A 15,231-nucleotide genomic window follows, 5' to 3' on the forward strand; every position below is an offset into this window, starting at 1 on the left:
TGGGGCTCCATTCTGGTTCTGGGTTCCGATGTGTGTCCCTGACGTAGAGCCAGTGGGAGCCCTGGGCTGTGGGCTTTGGGCTTCATGTCTCAGCAGAGCGTACAGAGCATACAAGTTGCTGCATGAAGACCATACTGGGGCCTTTCTCACTCACAGGGGTTAATGCTAGTGACAGTGAGTGGTGGTGGAGAATGAATGGCGGAATGAGCGACCTTCTGTGGCTCGGCCCTACACCCTTTTCAAACTGATTTGGGGCGGACCTCAAGCTAAGTCCTCATAGCAGCCAGCACGGGCATCCAGAAAGCCCTCAAGCACCCCGGCCACCCTCGACACAAGCCCTCCACTGTGCACGCGGCATCCCATTCCAAGCTGACTCCACCTCATCTTCTCATTTCATTTCCAAAGTACACCAGGACTGAGGGGAGGGACACTCTTTTCCCTTTTTGGAAACTGAGGCCTGAGAGGCAGTTCCATTACAGAACCATCCTCCAGGGTACAAAATTGATCTCTATTGGGAAATGCAATAGGAACTTGCAGCTCCCTCCCCACCCCAGCAACCCCGTGCCCTCCTCACCCTCCCCACCCCAGCAACCCCATGCCCTCCTCACCCTCCCCACCCCACCAACCCTGTGCCCTCCTCACCCTCCCCACCCCAGCAACCCCGTGCCCTCCTCACCCTCCCCACCCCACCAACCCCGTGCCCTCCTCACCCTCCCCACCCCACCAACCCCGTGCCCTCCTCACCCTCCCCACCCACCAACCCCATGCCCTCACCCTCCCTACCCACCAACCCCGTGCCTTCAGGAAAAAAAATACCTGCATTCCAATGTCAGGCACAGATAATTTGGAAGACTCTAGAAGACTCTAGAATTACCAACCTATTCCACTTCCCAGCCTTGATTTTCTTTCCTTTTCCAGATTATAAAAATGCCCTTTTTTTGTAGAGCCCTTTTTTAAGGAGCCCAATTTGCTTTAAAGGCCTTGTCTAATTCCACCTTGTCATGAGCCTGTGACACCGGGAGGCAGCAGGGCAGGTGTTACGGTGGCAGCGGATGCCCAGAGCCTCCAGGGAGTCCAATTCCCAGGGCCCTGGAGGAGGCCGCCAGTCCACGGGGCTCTGCGATACGTCGGGGCCTGAGAATCGGAGGCCACATGGAGTGCTCCTCCCTCTTGCTAAGATGGGAGATTCACAGGGGCCCCAACTGGGAAATATACAATATATAACATTGGTGGCATTTCTGTGGCCTTAAGTGTGGCGTGCATAGGTGACACACTCTGATGGCCCGTAGCTTGCCAGCTGGGAGAGAGCCAGGGTGGGGCACAGCTGCAGGTGGCTGTTAGATAACTAGAGAAACATGCAGAATTGCCGCCGACCTGCTCCTGTGCCCGCCGACGCTTGGGTTGTGCATGCTGGGTTTCCTTTCAGTAATGAAAGATGAATATTCCCGTGTCCCATCTTGAAGCTTTTTTCCATCTTTGCTTATGCCCCAAAATAACGCAACCTCCCTTGTAAGTAAGCAACCCTACCATTTTGACTGGCAGAGTACGTTCTTGAGAAGTTGGACTTTCAGAGCTAAATTCTGGAACCTCCCGGGCAGGTTGGAACCCATTGGTCACCCTGATGTTGGGGGCCTGAGTAAGGGCCTCGTCGTGTGAGTACCTCCTGGGCCCTGTGGTTGTGAATAGGGCAAAGGAAGGCAGCAGCCACCCCACGGGAAAGGACCCTCCATGCTCTGGTTGAATCCCAGTTCCCGTGGGTATGGGCTGTGTGTGACGTTTGTACCTCCTTCCTGGGATGTCTCTGCCCTGGACATAAAAGTGTTTGTTTATTCTCTCGTTTCTTACATTTATTTCCCCCAATTAGGATACCTCAATCTAAGATTCATGCCTCAATCTATTAAAAAAAATTATCCCGCCAAAGAGTAGGCTTCATGGAAAACATTAACAGACAAGTGTGTGACTTTTGACCACAGGCTAATTTGTTTCACTGTCTGTCTCAGATGCCCAGGTATTTGAAGTCACAATAAAGATTGTAAACCACAACCTGACGGAGAAGTTACTCAACCGCAGCAGTGTGGAGTACCAGGACTTTTCTAGACAACTGCTTCACGAGGTAAAGCCACAATGCAGACAGAAATCTTTTCTTGGGTGTTCTGAGTGAGGACATCAAACACAAGCCGTTAATTCCTGCCCAGCTCTTCCTCTGGGATTGTGGCAAAAATACATGTTACTGCAGCTTCAGGGGAGGCCAAACCCAAATCGCACAGTGATTAGTCAAAAGCTTTCCCCCTGCTTTTATGGGGTACTTAATCCAGATACTGGGCCAATCCATCTTTAAGATATGTGCCTTTATTCAAATGGTGTACACCACTTACTCCTACTGTTGGATTTTCTGTGGAACCTTCTGTCTGAGGGCCCTGGCTTCCAGCTATGGGGTAGCTTCATTAGTGAAGCATTTACCAACAATCATGGCATCCATTCCTCCCTCGTGACTAAAGGGAGACATCAGCAGACAGCCAGGGAGAAGCAAGCCAGTGGGAAGCACCATCTATCCACAGATGGTGCATTGGAGGGAGAAGTGACTTCCTAAACTGCCAAGAATCACATAAAGTCTGAGGTTTTACCCTCCCTGCAAACTAACAAGTGAGTCTGCCACAGTTTCATGGATGCTGGCAGAAGACACGAGACTCCTGGGCCAGAGACGGAAGACTGTATTACTCCAGCACAGCAGGCAGCATGCGTGTGCTGCTGTGCCGGTTCCCCTTCCTGCACCCGAGTCCCGCAGAGGTGATGCAGAGGGGACCAGGGGCATGAAGCACACAAAGTGGGTCTGCACCTGAGCTGAGGAACCCCAACTCTAGGGAACCTGAATCTTTTATAATGGGTGCAAGCACTGGCTCCAGAAGGAGACATTATCTGTTACATCAGACAGTAACAAACCTGCCCTTTGCTCTGGAGGGAGCCAATATCTCTCCCTCCCAAGGCTGTTCACTATGCAAACATCCTTGGAAAGATATTCTGGAACAAAAGGGCAGTTAGTGCGTCTACTTGCAAGATGTGTAGAAATGCCAGAGACCCACAGAGTGTTGCTTCCCAACATTTGCCTGGAGGAGGAATCTGGTTTTCAATGTTTTCAGAGAATTCCCTCCCTTTTGAAATGTTAACTCACTTGTGTGTGCAAGTATGGGTTGGCACAAAGGCAGGGAACCAGGCTGGTATCTCCCTTGCTTGGGCATGGGTAGCCCTAAGCACCTGGCTCTGTGTGCGTGTTTTGTGTGGGATACAGCCTAGTAAGAGGGGGGACAGCTCCAAATAGCCATAGGCATTGTTCCTTGGTGGGGCCTCTCCATCTATCAATCAATCAGTCTTTCTCACACGCTCACACAAATGACCTTCGCACCAGTTTTCAGGACACTCAGAGGGGATTGTCCATCTGATGCTCCACAACTGGGAGCTTGATTGCAGTGGTCACTGTGAGTCCCCAGCACACACCAGGCCAGGCCCGGCCGTCCCAGGGAAAGCCCAGCTAAGGTGCTGTGAACGGACTTCTCTGCGTGCTCTGAGAGGTCGGTCGTCAGGTGCCTCCTCTTGATTGTAGAGGAGAGAAATGGCTCCAAGCACCATCCATCGGTCACACCTGGAACCCTGCTTAATGGTCGTGAAGACGTTGATGGATGTCTGCTGTTGCCTCTTCTTGGCTAGGTCGAGAGCTCCTTCCCACCAGTGGTGTCTGACTTGTACCGAAGTGGGAAGCTGAGAATGCAGATCGTGTCTCTCCAGGCGGGAAGTGTGGTCGTGAGGCTCAAGCTCACCGTGCAGGACCCCGGGTTTCCCATGGGCATCTCCACGCTGGCCCCCATACTCCAGCCCCTGTTGGCAAGCACAGTGTTCCAGATTGACCGGCAGGGGACACGCGTGCAAGGTATGGCCCAGCCACCCGCCCTGCTGCCTGGTGTCCTCCAGCTCAGAAATCCTCTTGGTGACTTTATTTGAGTCAGTCTTTCCTTTATTTCAAAGGGTAAAGAAATGCAAATCCTTATTCTATCTTCCTCCACCGGAACCAGGGGCCAGGGCAGTAGCCCTGAATAACTAGCTCACCTGTGTCTCATTGGTCAGCCCAGGACACTGAGTGAAATGGGGCTGGAAGGTACCCTCAGGGGAAAGGGACAGGAGTTCACTGTGTCTGTCGTCAGGGCCCCCCAGCACTTCTGGGCAGCGGGACAACTGCCCACCTGTGGGTCTATTTCTTTTCTTTTTTTCTTTTCTTTTTTTTCTTTTTCTTTTCTTTTCTTTTTTTTTTTAAGACAGAGTTTCGCTCTTGTTGCCCAGGCTGGAGTGCAATGGCACGATCTTGGCTCACTGCAACCTCCGCCTCCTAGGTTAAAGTGATTCTCCTGCCTCAGCTTCTCCAGTAGCTGGGATTATAGGCGCCTGCCACCACGCCTGGCTAATTTTTGTATTTTAAGTAGAGACAGGGTTTCACCGTGTTGGTCAGGCTGGTCTCGAACTCCTGACCTCAGGTGATCCACCTGCCTCAGCCTCCCAAGGTGCTGGGATTACAGGCGTGAGCCACCGCGCCCGGCCTCTGTGGGTCTATTTCATTACGCTGTGTGTTATTTCATTTTACTTGGTGTTGCCTTGAAGCAGGAGGTCATGGACACAGGACAGACACAAAGAGACAGAGAGATAAAGAGAGAGACAGAAAGGCACGGAGACCAGGTTCTTGCTGTCCTGCAGCAGGCACGGAGTTCTCTCCTGGCTGTGAGGGCACACACAGTCTCTAGATCCACAAGCTCCAGTTTTGGGCTCAATCTGTGGAGTGGGCACCTCTCTGGTCGTCTCCCGGGGTGCTGGGTCTTGGAGCTCAGCCACGTGCTGGCTTCCTGTCCCAACCTTCCCCCACCAGGAGGTGCCGGGAAGAACTGGGTTGGGTGTGGGGGGATCTACTCTTTGAAGTCATGCCTGGAAACCTCGGCCTGGGGTTACTCTGTTCACTTGGCACTCCCTAAGGATGGGGATACTACAGTGGCCCCTGTACCTGGTAAGATCCCACCTAGCTGGGCTGCAGGGTAGGGCCTGAGGTTGGGGTCCACAGGGTATGCCCCCAGCAGGGTCCTCAGTGTGTGACCCCGTGATCCAACCTTCAGGCGGATCCAGCCTTCAGGTGGATGCCACCCAGCCCGCCCTCCACACCTCCCTGCCTCCCTCCTCCCATCCTCTGGGACTAGGGCTCAGGCGATTCCAGATCCCTGCCAAATGAGAACCTCGGCAGCAGGGATGTCGTGGGTAGAATGGTGGCCCCCTCCAAAAAGATATGTTCACCTGGAACTTCAGAATGTGACCTTATTTAGAATAAGGGTGTTTGCAGACACGATTAAGTTAAGGATGTCAAGATGAGGTCCTCCTGCCGTTGGATTTGGGTTGGCCTGAAGTTCAGTGACAAGTGTTCTTATACGAGACAAGAGGAGGAGACACAGACACAGAGGCCAAGATTGGAGTGATGCAGCCACAAGCCAAAGGACTCCTGGAGCCACAAGATAAGACACTGGAAGAGGCCTGGGAAAGCCCCTTTCCTAGAGCCCCAGAGGGAGGGCGGCCCTGCTGACACCTGGAGTTTGGACTTCGCCTCCGGAACGGCGGGAATACATCTGTGCTGTTTCAGGCCCCCCAGCTGGTGTGTTTGTGATGGCAGCCACAGGAGACCCGTGTCTTGCACCTCTAGGACTGGATGAATCCATTGTAAGCATTCGCAGCACCCCACTCCCCACGCTGTTCAGTGGTCCTGCAGAAGTTATTAAGCTCCTTCTGCAGGCTCTTGCCCGGCAGGGTCCCGGGCAGGCTGTGGCCTGCTTCCTCCACATTTCAGAGCTGAGGTGCTGGTGCGGGCAGGTCTCCTGAGCTGGGGGGTCAGCTGTGTGGCCAGTGATGGTGACGCCTCAGGCCGTGCATGGCCGGGGAGGCGGCCCTGCCTCTGCACTCTTTTGACTCCATGACTACTGGTGTCTTCGGACGCCAGAGTCGGGGGAGCAACCATGGGGCACCGCCCCTGCCTGGGGAGGCAGCACGAGGCCTGAGCCCAGCTTACAGGGGGACATCCACCCCCGCTGAGAGCCCCACCTTCACGGCGAGGATCTGTAGAAGAAGACATTTGATATTACTCGGCAAAAAAAACAAGAAACGAAAACACAAAAAGAGCTCCTCTGAAGAAGAAAAGGTATTTGCGCTGTGGTCCACCTAGAAATAATGTTGTTGGCACAACTAGAGCATTCCTCAGTCATTCAGGAGCACTCCCTGCCGGTGCGTCCACATGTCCCAACCCCGATAGATGAGGCGCTGTTCGCCCGTGGAGGGGTCAGGTTGTCGTGACCTTATCTTTACCCTTAGGCCGTCCATCCCGGGGCCTGGGGTTTCCTGCGCCAGTCACGGTGGGCTGTGTAGGTGGCCATGTGTTCGGTCTTTCCCCAGGAGGTACGTACCATGTGCTGGGAGGCCTGGAGGCTGAGCCGCCCCCCGCGCCTATGAGTTGCACCCTCACAGCGGCGGCCAAACCTCCTGCTCACTTTGCCCCATAGGAAGAGGTTAGAGTGAGGCGGAACGGGTTGGAATCCCAGCTCTGACACTCACTCACTGTGGGATGCTGCACAAATGACTTCCTCTCCCTGGGCCTCAGTATACTCATCTGTGGAATGAGATTACAGCAACATCCCACCTCCTATGGCGATGGAGTAAATTAAGGCACAATGCCTGTGTGGGTTTAGCCCAGTGCCTGTGCATGGCGACAGTGCATTTCTGATGGCCCCTCCAGCGTTCAGGGCTAACTCTTCCAGGATTAACTTTCATATCTTGGATGAGAGCTCATCTAGGAAGGTCTCCTAGCAACCCCTGGGTTCCCACTGGTCCTTCCGCCTCACGGGGCTCCTTTTTGAACCCCTCACATCATTTCCATTCAATCTCTTGCTCCTAACAGCACGGCCCCTATTCCTTCTCTTTCCCAACATCTGCTCTCAGGAGAGATTCTCATACAGTGTGCATTTGTTCTAGAGTGAGGGTCATCACTGGGCTTCTATGAGGCACCGCTGTGAACCCTCTGCACCGACCTTAGCCAGAGGAGCAGGACTCCCACCGGCATCCTTCTGCGTAAGAGGCCTTGTGGGTCTTCTGGGGCTCTGGAATCAACGCCGCTTTTCCTGGGGCCAGAGTAGGTGGAGCTGAGCTCCCCAAAGCTTCCAGTTTGCTGCCTGCTCCCACCCGCCTCGCCACTGCGCGAGCCCTTTCCATCCCCTCTGCAGAGTGAGAGAAGGGCCGTGAGTGAGGATCCTGGCCTAGGGCTGTCACCATCCCCCTCACCTGCTGGCCAGGCTAACCTACTGCAGGCTGCTTCCTTTCCTTAGGTTCACGGGTACCGCTATTTGTCCAGCGTCCATTTGCGGTGGCATTAGGATGAGGTGCTCTGTGCCCTCTTTCTCCCAGTGTGAATCTGACACACGCCCCCAGGAGAGTCCGAGGGGCATCACTTCTGGAGGACGCCCTGGGCCCTGAAAGACAGCTCATGGTCCAACTGAGGAGCCTGCACCTTGCTGGGACAGGGTGGCCCAGGAGATCTGGGGTCTGTACCTGCTCCTGGACCCTCTCCAGCTTGTTGTTCTGGGTGGGGCCAGCTCAGGAGGGGCACCTGGGCTGGGAGTCTCTGAAGCAGCTGCCCCCATTGCTCCAGGAGAGGGCTCAGCCCTTGTCCCAGCTGCGGGGCCAGTGGGAGCAGTGTGCAGCGTCCTGCCCTGGGCTCTCGCTGGCTCTGCGCCCTCGCCTGGCCAGCCCGGGAGGGTGCAGAGGCTCACTGGCAGCTCTTCCTGCTCCCACACCTGCCTCTTCCTCTGAACTGGAGGGCCGGCAAGCCTCAAGGCTTAATGCAAGACTAAATACAGCTGTCAGCGCCTTCCTCTGAGCTCGCTTGGGAGCTGTCTGGGGGGACGGAGGAGTGAAGATTAGGTGAATCACCACGCCCCAAAATAGACATCAGGTGCTTGGTGGTTTGAGCCAGCGTCTTGCCTGGTGCCTCTGCTGTCCTCCGTGGACTGCAGCCCAGCCAGCCTAGGCTCCAACCCCAACCCGGAGCACCCCCAGGAGAGTTACCTGTAGGCTGGAGGTTGAGTAGCACCCCAGGAAGAGGTGTGGGTTGGCACCAGCAGTGTTCTGATGGCAAGGCAGCCCCCAGGCCATGCTAGGGTGGTGGCATAGCTGTTGTGGCAGCTGACGAGCTTGCTGTTCTCCAGGGAAGCTGCTTCTGTGGAGACCGCAGGAAGCACAACAGAAAAAAACCCACAAAACGAGCCTCAGAGCACTCAGCAGCAGGGTTTTCTTTGCCCAGAACTGAACTGGTCCTGCATCGTGGCTTAAATTCCACCTGAATTGGAACTTCTCTGGCATGCCGGGTGTGGGTTCGTTCCCGAGCACCTCCACCCGCAGCTCTACAGAAGCACGCGCAGAAGGCACTGTCACCTCCAGCAGGGCCTGGCCCTGACGACCTCGGCTCAGCCACCCCATGGGAGCTACATTGTCCTTGTCCTCACCTTCATTCCCCTCAGGCGGGCCCCCCGGTGACATGACATCACAAGTCTTTGGGCACAGGAGGAGGGACATACCTGTGGAGACACCCGGGTGCTCTAGAATATGGCGCGGGAAGTTCATGTTGTACTCCGCTGGACCCCACCCCCGGCGTGGGAAGTTCATGTTGTACTCAGGCTGACCCCCACCCCCCCCACGAGAGAAGTCCATGTTATACTCAGGCTGACCCCCACTCCTGGCATGTAAAGCTGGTGTTATGCTCAGCTGGACCCCCACCCCCGGTGTGGAAAGCTCATGTTATACTCCACTGGCCCCCACCCCCGGCGTGGAAAGCTGGTGTTATACTCCGCTGGACCCCCACCCCCGGCGTGGAAAGCTGGTGTTATACTCCGCTGGACCCCCACCCCCCATGCGGAAAGTTCACGTTATACTCAGCTGTGTCCCCACCCCTGGCTCAGTTACTTTCCTATTTCTTGGTTGAGACACTAAGTATTGGAGAATGTTGGCACATCAAAGAGAGAGGAGAAAACATTTCAAGTTTTGGGTGTGGAAACAGAATAAAGAAGAGAGGGCTACATGCACACCCATGGGTGCTAATATTTAAGGAATGAACATTTCCTAATCTTTGCCCCCAAATAAGCCAACCAATGTGAAGGTGGGCACAGGCAGGCCGTAAGGTTGTCATGAGAGTGTTGGACGGATGCCCCAAAATGCCCCTGCTCCCGGCCGTTCACTGCAAAGACGGCTAGGAAGGACTCCTTCCAGCATGGGTCTGTCTTCTGATCACTCTTTGGCTGTTTTCTCATGGGTTTTGATTGTGTCTCCCCCTGGCAGACTGGGACGAGTGTGTGGACAGCGCGGAACACGACTGCTCACCGGCTGCCTGGTGCATCAACCTGGAGGGCTCCTACACCTGCCAGTGCCGTACCACCAGGGACGCCACCCCCTCCCGCGCAGGCCGGGCCTGTGAGGGTACGTGTCGACCCCCCTGCCGACTCTGGGAAGACCCCCTGCCCGAGAATCTGGGGGTGGGGCAAAGCCCAATTCTCCATAGGCACAGGGCTGAGGACCTATGGTAATGTTAGGGGCCTACAGAAATGTTTTCATTTCAATTTATTTTAAAATCAGAAGAAAGAAATTAATAGAAGGATAGTAAATATACATAAAACAATGAATCTAGCTTGGATTACACTCATCTCTATCTAAATGCCATTATAAAATGTAATTTTTGATAGATTGTTAAGTGGAGGGGTGCAGGGGTCCATGAAGGCCAAGTTCCTTGGGCCCACAGAAGTCAGGATGCAGCCCGGGGTCGAGGGATTCCTTCCCCAGTGGCCTGGAGCCCGAGAGGGTGTGGCCTGGAGCCCGAGACAGTGTGGAAGCCCAGAGAAGCTGCAGAGAGGCCCGATGGGGGCCGCTGAGCTCTAGTCCTGCTGTATCGGCCCCCAGTCTTTTCTGTGGACCAGTTCTGATGAGTGGGTCGGGGATACCTGGGATGCTGAATTGAGCAGCAGGAGGAGGCCACGTAGGGACCTAAAATGCAGTGACTGATTAGCAATGTCGGCCCGGACACAGGCGTGGCAGAGGCGCCCAGCCACTGGCTTGCCAGCCCCTGCTGAGGGCTTTCTAGCTGGAAGGAGCAGCCGAGACCAGTTCCCTGGGGAGAATATTCCTTAGACACTGCGTGTGCTGTCCTGCTTCCTAACATCCCACACCTTGTCTTCTGTTTTTCTCATTCGCCTAATGTCCTGCAAGTCGATGACAGCATCCAGCACCAAGTCCCACATTGAGCACAAATCTGGGGGAAATTGTCCCATTTTCCCAGAGTCCTGATGGATTAATCTGAGGCCTATGAGAACCAAGCCCTGCATTCAAGCCCGGGTTTTGTAGCCCCCCGGGTGGATCCCTCACCCTCAACTTCAGTTTCCTCATTTATCCAGTGGAGAGGCGTGATTTGCCTTCAGAGAGCCCCGGGGAGGCTGCAAACATGGGCCCAGGAAACACTCCTGAACGCTGGCGCCCGCCTGCGTCCCTGGCCAGGTCCACTCCGGGATGCAGAGCAGTCCTGCTGGACGGCCATGCTGCCCTCCTGGGAGGGCTCTTACTCGTGGGTGGGATCCAGCAGGCTCTGACAGTGGATGTGTCTTGGCAGGTGACCTGGTGAGCCCCATGGGCGGTGGACTGTCTGCGGCAACAGGGGTAACGGTCCCAGGTCTTGGCACGGGAACAGCAGCCCTCGGCCTAGAGAACTTCACCTTGTCACCCAGTCCTGGGTACCCTCAGGGCACCCCGGCAGCAGGCCAGGCCTGGACCCCAGAGCCCTCACCCAGAAGAGGGGGCAGCAATGTGGTCGGGTATGACAGGAACAACACAGGAAAAGGCGTGGAGCAGGAGGTGCCCAGCACTGCCCCGGGTCTGGGGATGGACCAGGGGAGCCCCAGCCAGGTGAACCCCAGCCAGGGGAGCCCCAGCCAGGGGAGCCTCAGACAGGAGAGTACCAGCCAGGCGAGCCCCAGCCAGAGGAGCACCAGCCAGGGGAGCCCCAGCCAGGTGAACCCCAGCCAGCGGAGCACCAGCCACGCGAACTCCAGCCAGGGGAGCCCCAGCCAGGGGAGCCCCAGCCAGGAGAGCCCCAGCCAGGGGAGCACCAGCCAGGCGAGCCCCAGCCATAGGAACACTATCGGGGTGATAGGCACCACCTCCTCCCCGAAGGCTACTGGGTCAACCCACAGCTTCCCTCCTGGGGCCACAGATGGCCCACTGGCCCTCCCTGGACAGCTACAGGGAAACTCCATCATGGAGCCACCCTCCTGGCCTTCCCCTACTGAGGACCCCACCGGCCACTTCCTGTGGCATGCCACCCGTTCCACCCGGGAAACACTTCTGAATCCCACGTGGCTGCGAAATGAGGACAGTGGACCCTCCGGTTCTGTAGACCTGCCATTGACCTCCACCCTCACAGCTCTGAAGACCCCCGCCTGTGGTGAGTTCCTCGAATGGTGCATGGGGACTAGGACTAATAGGACCCATAGCCTGTGTGAGCCTCTGGGGCAAAGCTCCTGCAGCCGTGGAGTCGCAGGCTGCTAGCAATGCTCAGGCGGCATCCTCATCTTGTGCGTGTGGAAACGGAGGCACCCAGCAGCTGGTTTCTAGTTGAGTTAGGAAGACAGCTTGGTCCCCTTGCCTGTCCCAGATCTCTCTTCCCCATCTCTTAGGGCTCCCTGTCTGCAGCAGCTGGGGCGGAGGTCTGCCTTCAGGAGCAGGCTTTGGGCCTTACTTGTCGCGTTAGGTGCTGGAGCCATCCCCTGAGGTGTTGCCCACCCCCGCTGTCCTGCCTCCTAGCAGAACTGTGTCCCGGCCCCGATCAGTGTGATGACACCCCCACAACAACTCTGCACCCTCCCAGTAATGCTGCACTCCCATAGCTGTTCTGCACCCCTCAGCTGTTCCGTCACCCTGCCAAGCATTCTGCAGCCCTGCAGCTGCTCTGCACACCAAGGTGTGCTGCACCCCAGCTTTTCTGCACCCCCGGCTCTTCTGTACTCCCAGCTGTTCTGCACCTCCCCAGCTGTTCTGTATCTCCCCAGCTGCTCTGTATCTGCCTAGCTGTTCTATATGCCCCAGAGATTCTGCATTTCCCCAGCTGTTCTGCACCCCCAGTTGTTCTGCATCTCCCCAGTTCTTCTGCACCCCCAGCTGTTCTGCATCCCCAGCTGTTCTGTATCTGCCCAGCTGCTCTGTATCTCCCCAGCTGCTCTGTATCTGTCCAGCTGTTCTATATGCCCCAGAGATTCTGTATCTCCCCAGCTGTTCTGCACCCCCAGCTGTTCTGTACCCCCAGCTGTTTTGTACCTCCCAGCTCTTCTGTATCTCCCCAGCTCTTCTGTATCTCCCCACTGTTCTGCACCTCCATAGGTGTTCTGCACCTCCCCAGCTGTTTTGTGCCCCCTCAGCTGTTCTGCACCCACAGTTCTGTAGTTCCCCAGCTGTTCTTCACCCCAGATATTGAACCTCTGCAGATGCTCTGGATTGTCAGCTGTTCCGTACCCCCAGTTGTTTTTTTACCCCCTAAGTGTTCTGTACCCCCATCTGCTCTACACATCCAGAGTTCCTGCACCCCCCAGCTGTTATGCACCTCTAGTCATACCGTAACCCCCAGCAATTCCATGTTACTTGTAGAAGATTTAGCCATCACCAAACCCCCAGGTGACATCTCAGGAGATTCACAGCAGGAATCTGTGCAGGAGTTGGATCTCAGCCGTGACAGCCCTGTGAGCTTGCAGAGCTAGCCTGCCTCTGGATTTCATCCAAATGAGCTGTCAAATGTGATCTTCCTCAATGCATTTCCTCTGCTAAGCAGCACAGGCTCTAAGACTAAACTCTTAGCCCATGTAAGTCAGTATTACCGAGGGACCTGGGGTCTTCCTGTAAGAATGGCTCTCTAGCCAGCATTGTCACCAATGTCAACTCCTAGTTGGACCCTGGGTAAATCCACCCAGGGGTCAAGAGTAGACAGTCCATCTGAGGCGCCACCAAGAACCTGCTCAAGAGGCCTTCATTTTGGGGAGTCCAGGGGCCTCAGGGATGTATATGAACCATCTGCTGAAACAAAACAAAATCAGAAGCCATTTGCTATCATCCCAAGGAGGGGCAAGGATGCAGGCCCAGGAAGCCCGGGCTTGGGAGGTTTGTACAGGATCCTACTCACCCATCACCTCGGCGGCCATCACCTGCAAATCGCTCATGTCCCCATGGTGATGAATTTGATTTTTGGCATTGGGCGAGGCTTCTTTTCTCCTAGAAATGGCTTGATTGTAATTTTGGTGTTTATATTCCACTTCCCAGTTCCTGTCTCCATTGGGAGGATCATGGTCTCCAATGTGACCAGCACCGGCTTCCACCTGGCATGGGAGGCGGATCTTGCTATGGACTCCACCTTCCAGCTCACTCTGACTTCCATGTGGAGCCCTGCTGTGGTCCTAGAGACCTGGAACACGAGTGTGACACTGTCGGGGCTGGAGCCTGGGGTCTTGCACCTGGTTGAGATCATGGCCAAAGCATGTGGGAAAGAAGGTGCCAGAGCTCATCTGAAAGTGAGGACAGGTAATGGGCTTCCATTTGTTTTTAAAGAGAGGAACAAAAAGTATGAAAAAGACTTTCTGTGGGTTAAGGCTTAAGAGAGCTGGATTTGTTTATGGGCTGCTAGGTGTCATTGTTCTTCTCAGCTTAGGGACATCCGGCTGGCTTCAGCAGGCGTGCAATGACGGCCAGACAGGAGGTGGCTTATTCAGGAAAAGGCATTAGGCAGCCCACGGGTATGGAGGCGGCAGCAGAGTGCCATAGACTGCGCCTGGAAGGCTGCGGGTGCGGCTCACCCATGTCCTCCGGGGGAGGCAGCATGGAAAATGCATGCGGTGCTCATCTGTTGAGCTGCATCCACTCCCTCTGATCTCAACAGTCCTACAGAGGACTTGGCTTTCAGGAAGGACATCAACAGACAATCGGCAGTCACATGGATGATCTGTGAGCAGCCTGCCAGAGCCTGGGGCCACAAAGTAAAGAATTGAGCAATAATGAATCAAACATAGACTCCACTGCGTTCCAGCTGGACAGTGACAATATTACACATATTTGGATGAAATTCCTCTTTTCTTTTCATTAGCATCGCTACCTGGGTATTTTCTTATGTGTACCTTACCTGGGTAGTCAAGAGCGTGTCTGATGTTGCAAGCTGGTTTTCACGCCATGGGCAGCTTCCCAAGCGTTGATAGCAGTGGTCTGCACGGTGGGGCGCACACCCCTTGAGGGAGGTGTAGGATGGTTTCACACTGTGGGCAGCATTGATAGCAGTGGTCTGCACAGTGGGGCGCACACCCCTTGAGAGAGGCATAAGATGGTCTATTGGGATGCAATAATAGAAGTTGAGAACTATGTATGTGCTTTAAAGTACTAATCAGCCATGGCCTGAGAAATTAGAGAACAGATGGAGTGCATGACGTGAATTGTGCACGTTCACGAGCAGCTGGAGAGGAGGGAGATCAGTGCTGGCTGGACAGTCAGACAGGGTGGCTCTGGGGTCTGAGAGCCAGAGTTGGGCCTCTGAAGGTCTCAGCTGCTCTGGACGGGACAGGCTGCACGGGGGACCCCAAACCTGTGGGTGCACTTATACCTGCTCTCACCTGTGCACCTGTCCTGCTACTGATGGCTTTCAGACTGGGTTGCTCATGCCAGCCATGGAGACTGAACCAGAAGCCCTCAGGGGCAGCAACAACAATGATCTCAAGGACGTAGAGTTTGGGGTTCGCCCAGGAATGCATAGCAGAATGGCTCTGTGGTTTGTCTTAAACTTAGTGAGAAGCTCTGGGGAGATGGACTCTAAGCCCCCTGAGGGGAGAGCTGTGTCTTTCTCCTTCACTGTCTAGAATGCCTCTGGCGCATGGCAGGCGCTTTGCAAATATCTGGTGAGGGACTGACTGAACACTGGGGTGGCTGCCATGCCAGGGCCAGGATGGGATGGCGACATTCCTGGACCACATTTATGTGCCACATACTCCTAGAAGCCCTCTGCGGAGGGAAAAGATTCAGATGGAACAGATGATGCCAAAACAGGGACTGCCCATAGACCAGGGGAGGTGGGGCTGCTGGGGGAGGAAGAAGGACTGGCTCCAA

General features: G+C 55.3%; 1 protein-coding gene and 1 long non-coding RNA gene across 7 annotated transcripts in view, besides 5 other annotated features; one reads left to right on the forward strand and one right to left on the reverse strand.

Moving 5' to 3' along the window:
• The window catches only part of UMODL1 (uromodulin like 1), an 80,120-nt gene that overhangs the window by 37,289 nt on the left and 27,600 nt on the right, over positions 1-15,231 (forward strand). For 4 of the 6 annotated variants that reach the window (NM_001199527.3, NM_173568.4, XM_017028507.1 and 1 more), the window contains 5 exons: positions 2,001-2,113; positions 3,703-3,922; positions 9,397-9,534; positions 10,715-11,545; positions 13,408-13,665. In NM_001199527.3, the coding sequence (NP_001186456.2) occupies positions 2,001-2,113; positions 3,703-3,922; positions 9,397-9,534; positions 10,715-11,545; positions 13,408-13,665 (1,560 nt within the window). The remainder of the gene's footprint in view (positions 1-2,000; positions 2,114-3,702; positions 3,923-9,396; positions 9,535-10,714; positions 11,546-13,407; positions 13,666-15,231) is intronic. The other 2 variants (NM_001199528.4, NM_001004416.3) reach the window with 1 other exon arrangement.
• UMODL1-AS1 (UMODL1 antisense RNA 1) lies at positions 1,969-8,369 on the reverse strand. Its single transcript, NR_027243.1, has 2 exons — positions 8,131-8,369; positions 1,969-3,870 (listed from the first exon to the last, which is right to left on the reverse strand). It is a non-coding gene; the product is annotated as a UMODL1 antisense RNA 1 (long non-coding RNA).
• Positions 3,234-3,792: an enhancer, noted in NCBI's record as "H3K4me1 hESC enhancer chr21:43523509-43524067 (GRCh37/hg19 assembly coordinates)". NCBI's record gives its function as "activates a minimal SCP1, AML or CMV promoter by ChIP-STARR-seq in naive H9 embryonic stem cells {active_cell/tissue: H9 hESC(naive)}" and the evidence as "EXISTENCE:reporter gene assay evidence [ECO:0000049][PMID:30033119]".
• Positions 3,793-4,350: an enhancer, noted in NCBI's record as "H3K4me1 hESC enhancer chr21:43524068-43524625 (GRCh37/hg19 assembly coordinates)". NCBI's record gives its function as "activates a minimal SCP1, AML or CMV promoter by ChIP-STARR-seq in naive H9 embryonic stem cells {active_cell/tissue: H9 hESC(naive)}" and the evidence as "EXISTENCE:reporter gene assay evidence [ECO:0000049][PMID:30033119]".
• Positions 7,518-7,637: an enhancer, noted in NCBI's record as "active region_18503". NCBI's record gives its function as "activates an Ori minimal core promoter by ATAC-STARR-seq in GM12878 lymphoblastoid cells {active_cell/tissue: GM12878}" and the evidence as "EXISTENCE:reporter gene assay evidence [ECO:0000049][PMID:35858748]".
• Positions 7,518-7,908: a biological region, named in NCBI's record as "Sharpr-MPRA regulatory region 15350".
• Positions 7,614-7,908: a silencer, noted in NCBI's record as "tiled region #15350; HepG2 Repressive DNase unmatched - State 12:CtcfO, and K562 Repressive non-DNase unmatched - State 20:ReprD". NCBI's record gives its function as "represses a minimal TATA promoter and a strong SV40 promoter by Sharpr-MPRA in HepG2 and K562 cells {active_cell/tissue: HepG2 | K562}" and the evidence as "EXISTENCE:reporter gene assay evidence [ECO:0000049][PMID:27701403]".

Source organism: Homo sapiens, chromosome 21, assembly GCF_000001405.40.
Source record: "Homo sapiens chromosome 21, GRCh38.p14 Primary Assembly".
Lineage (NCBI taxonomy): Eukaryota > Metazoa > Chordata > Mammalia > Primates > Hominidae > Homo > Homo sapiens.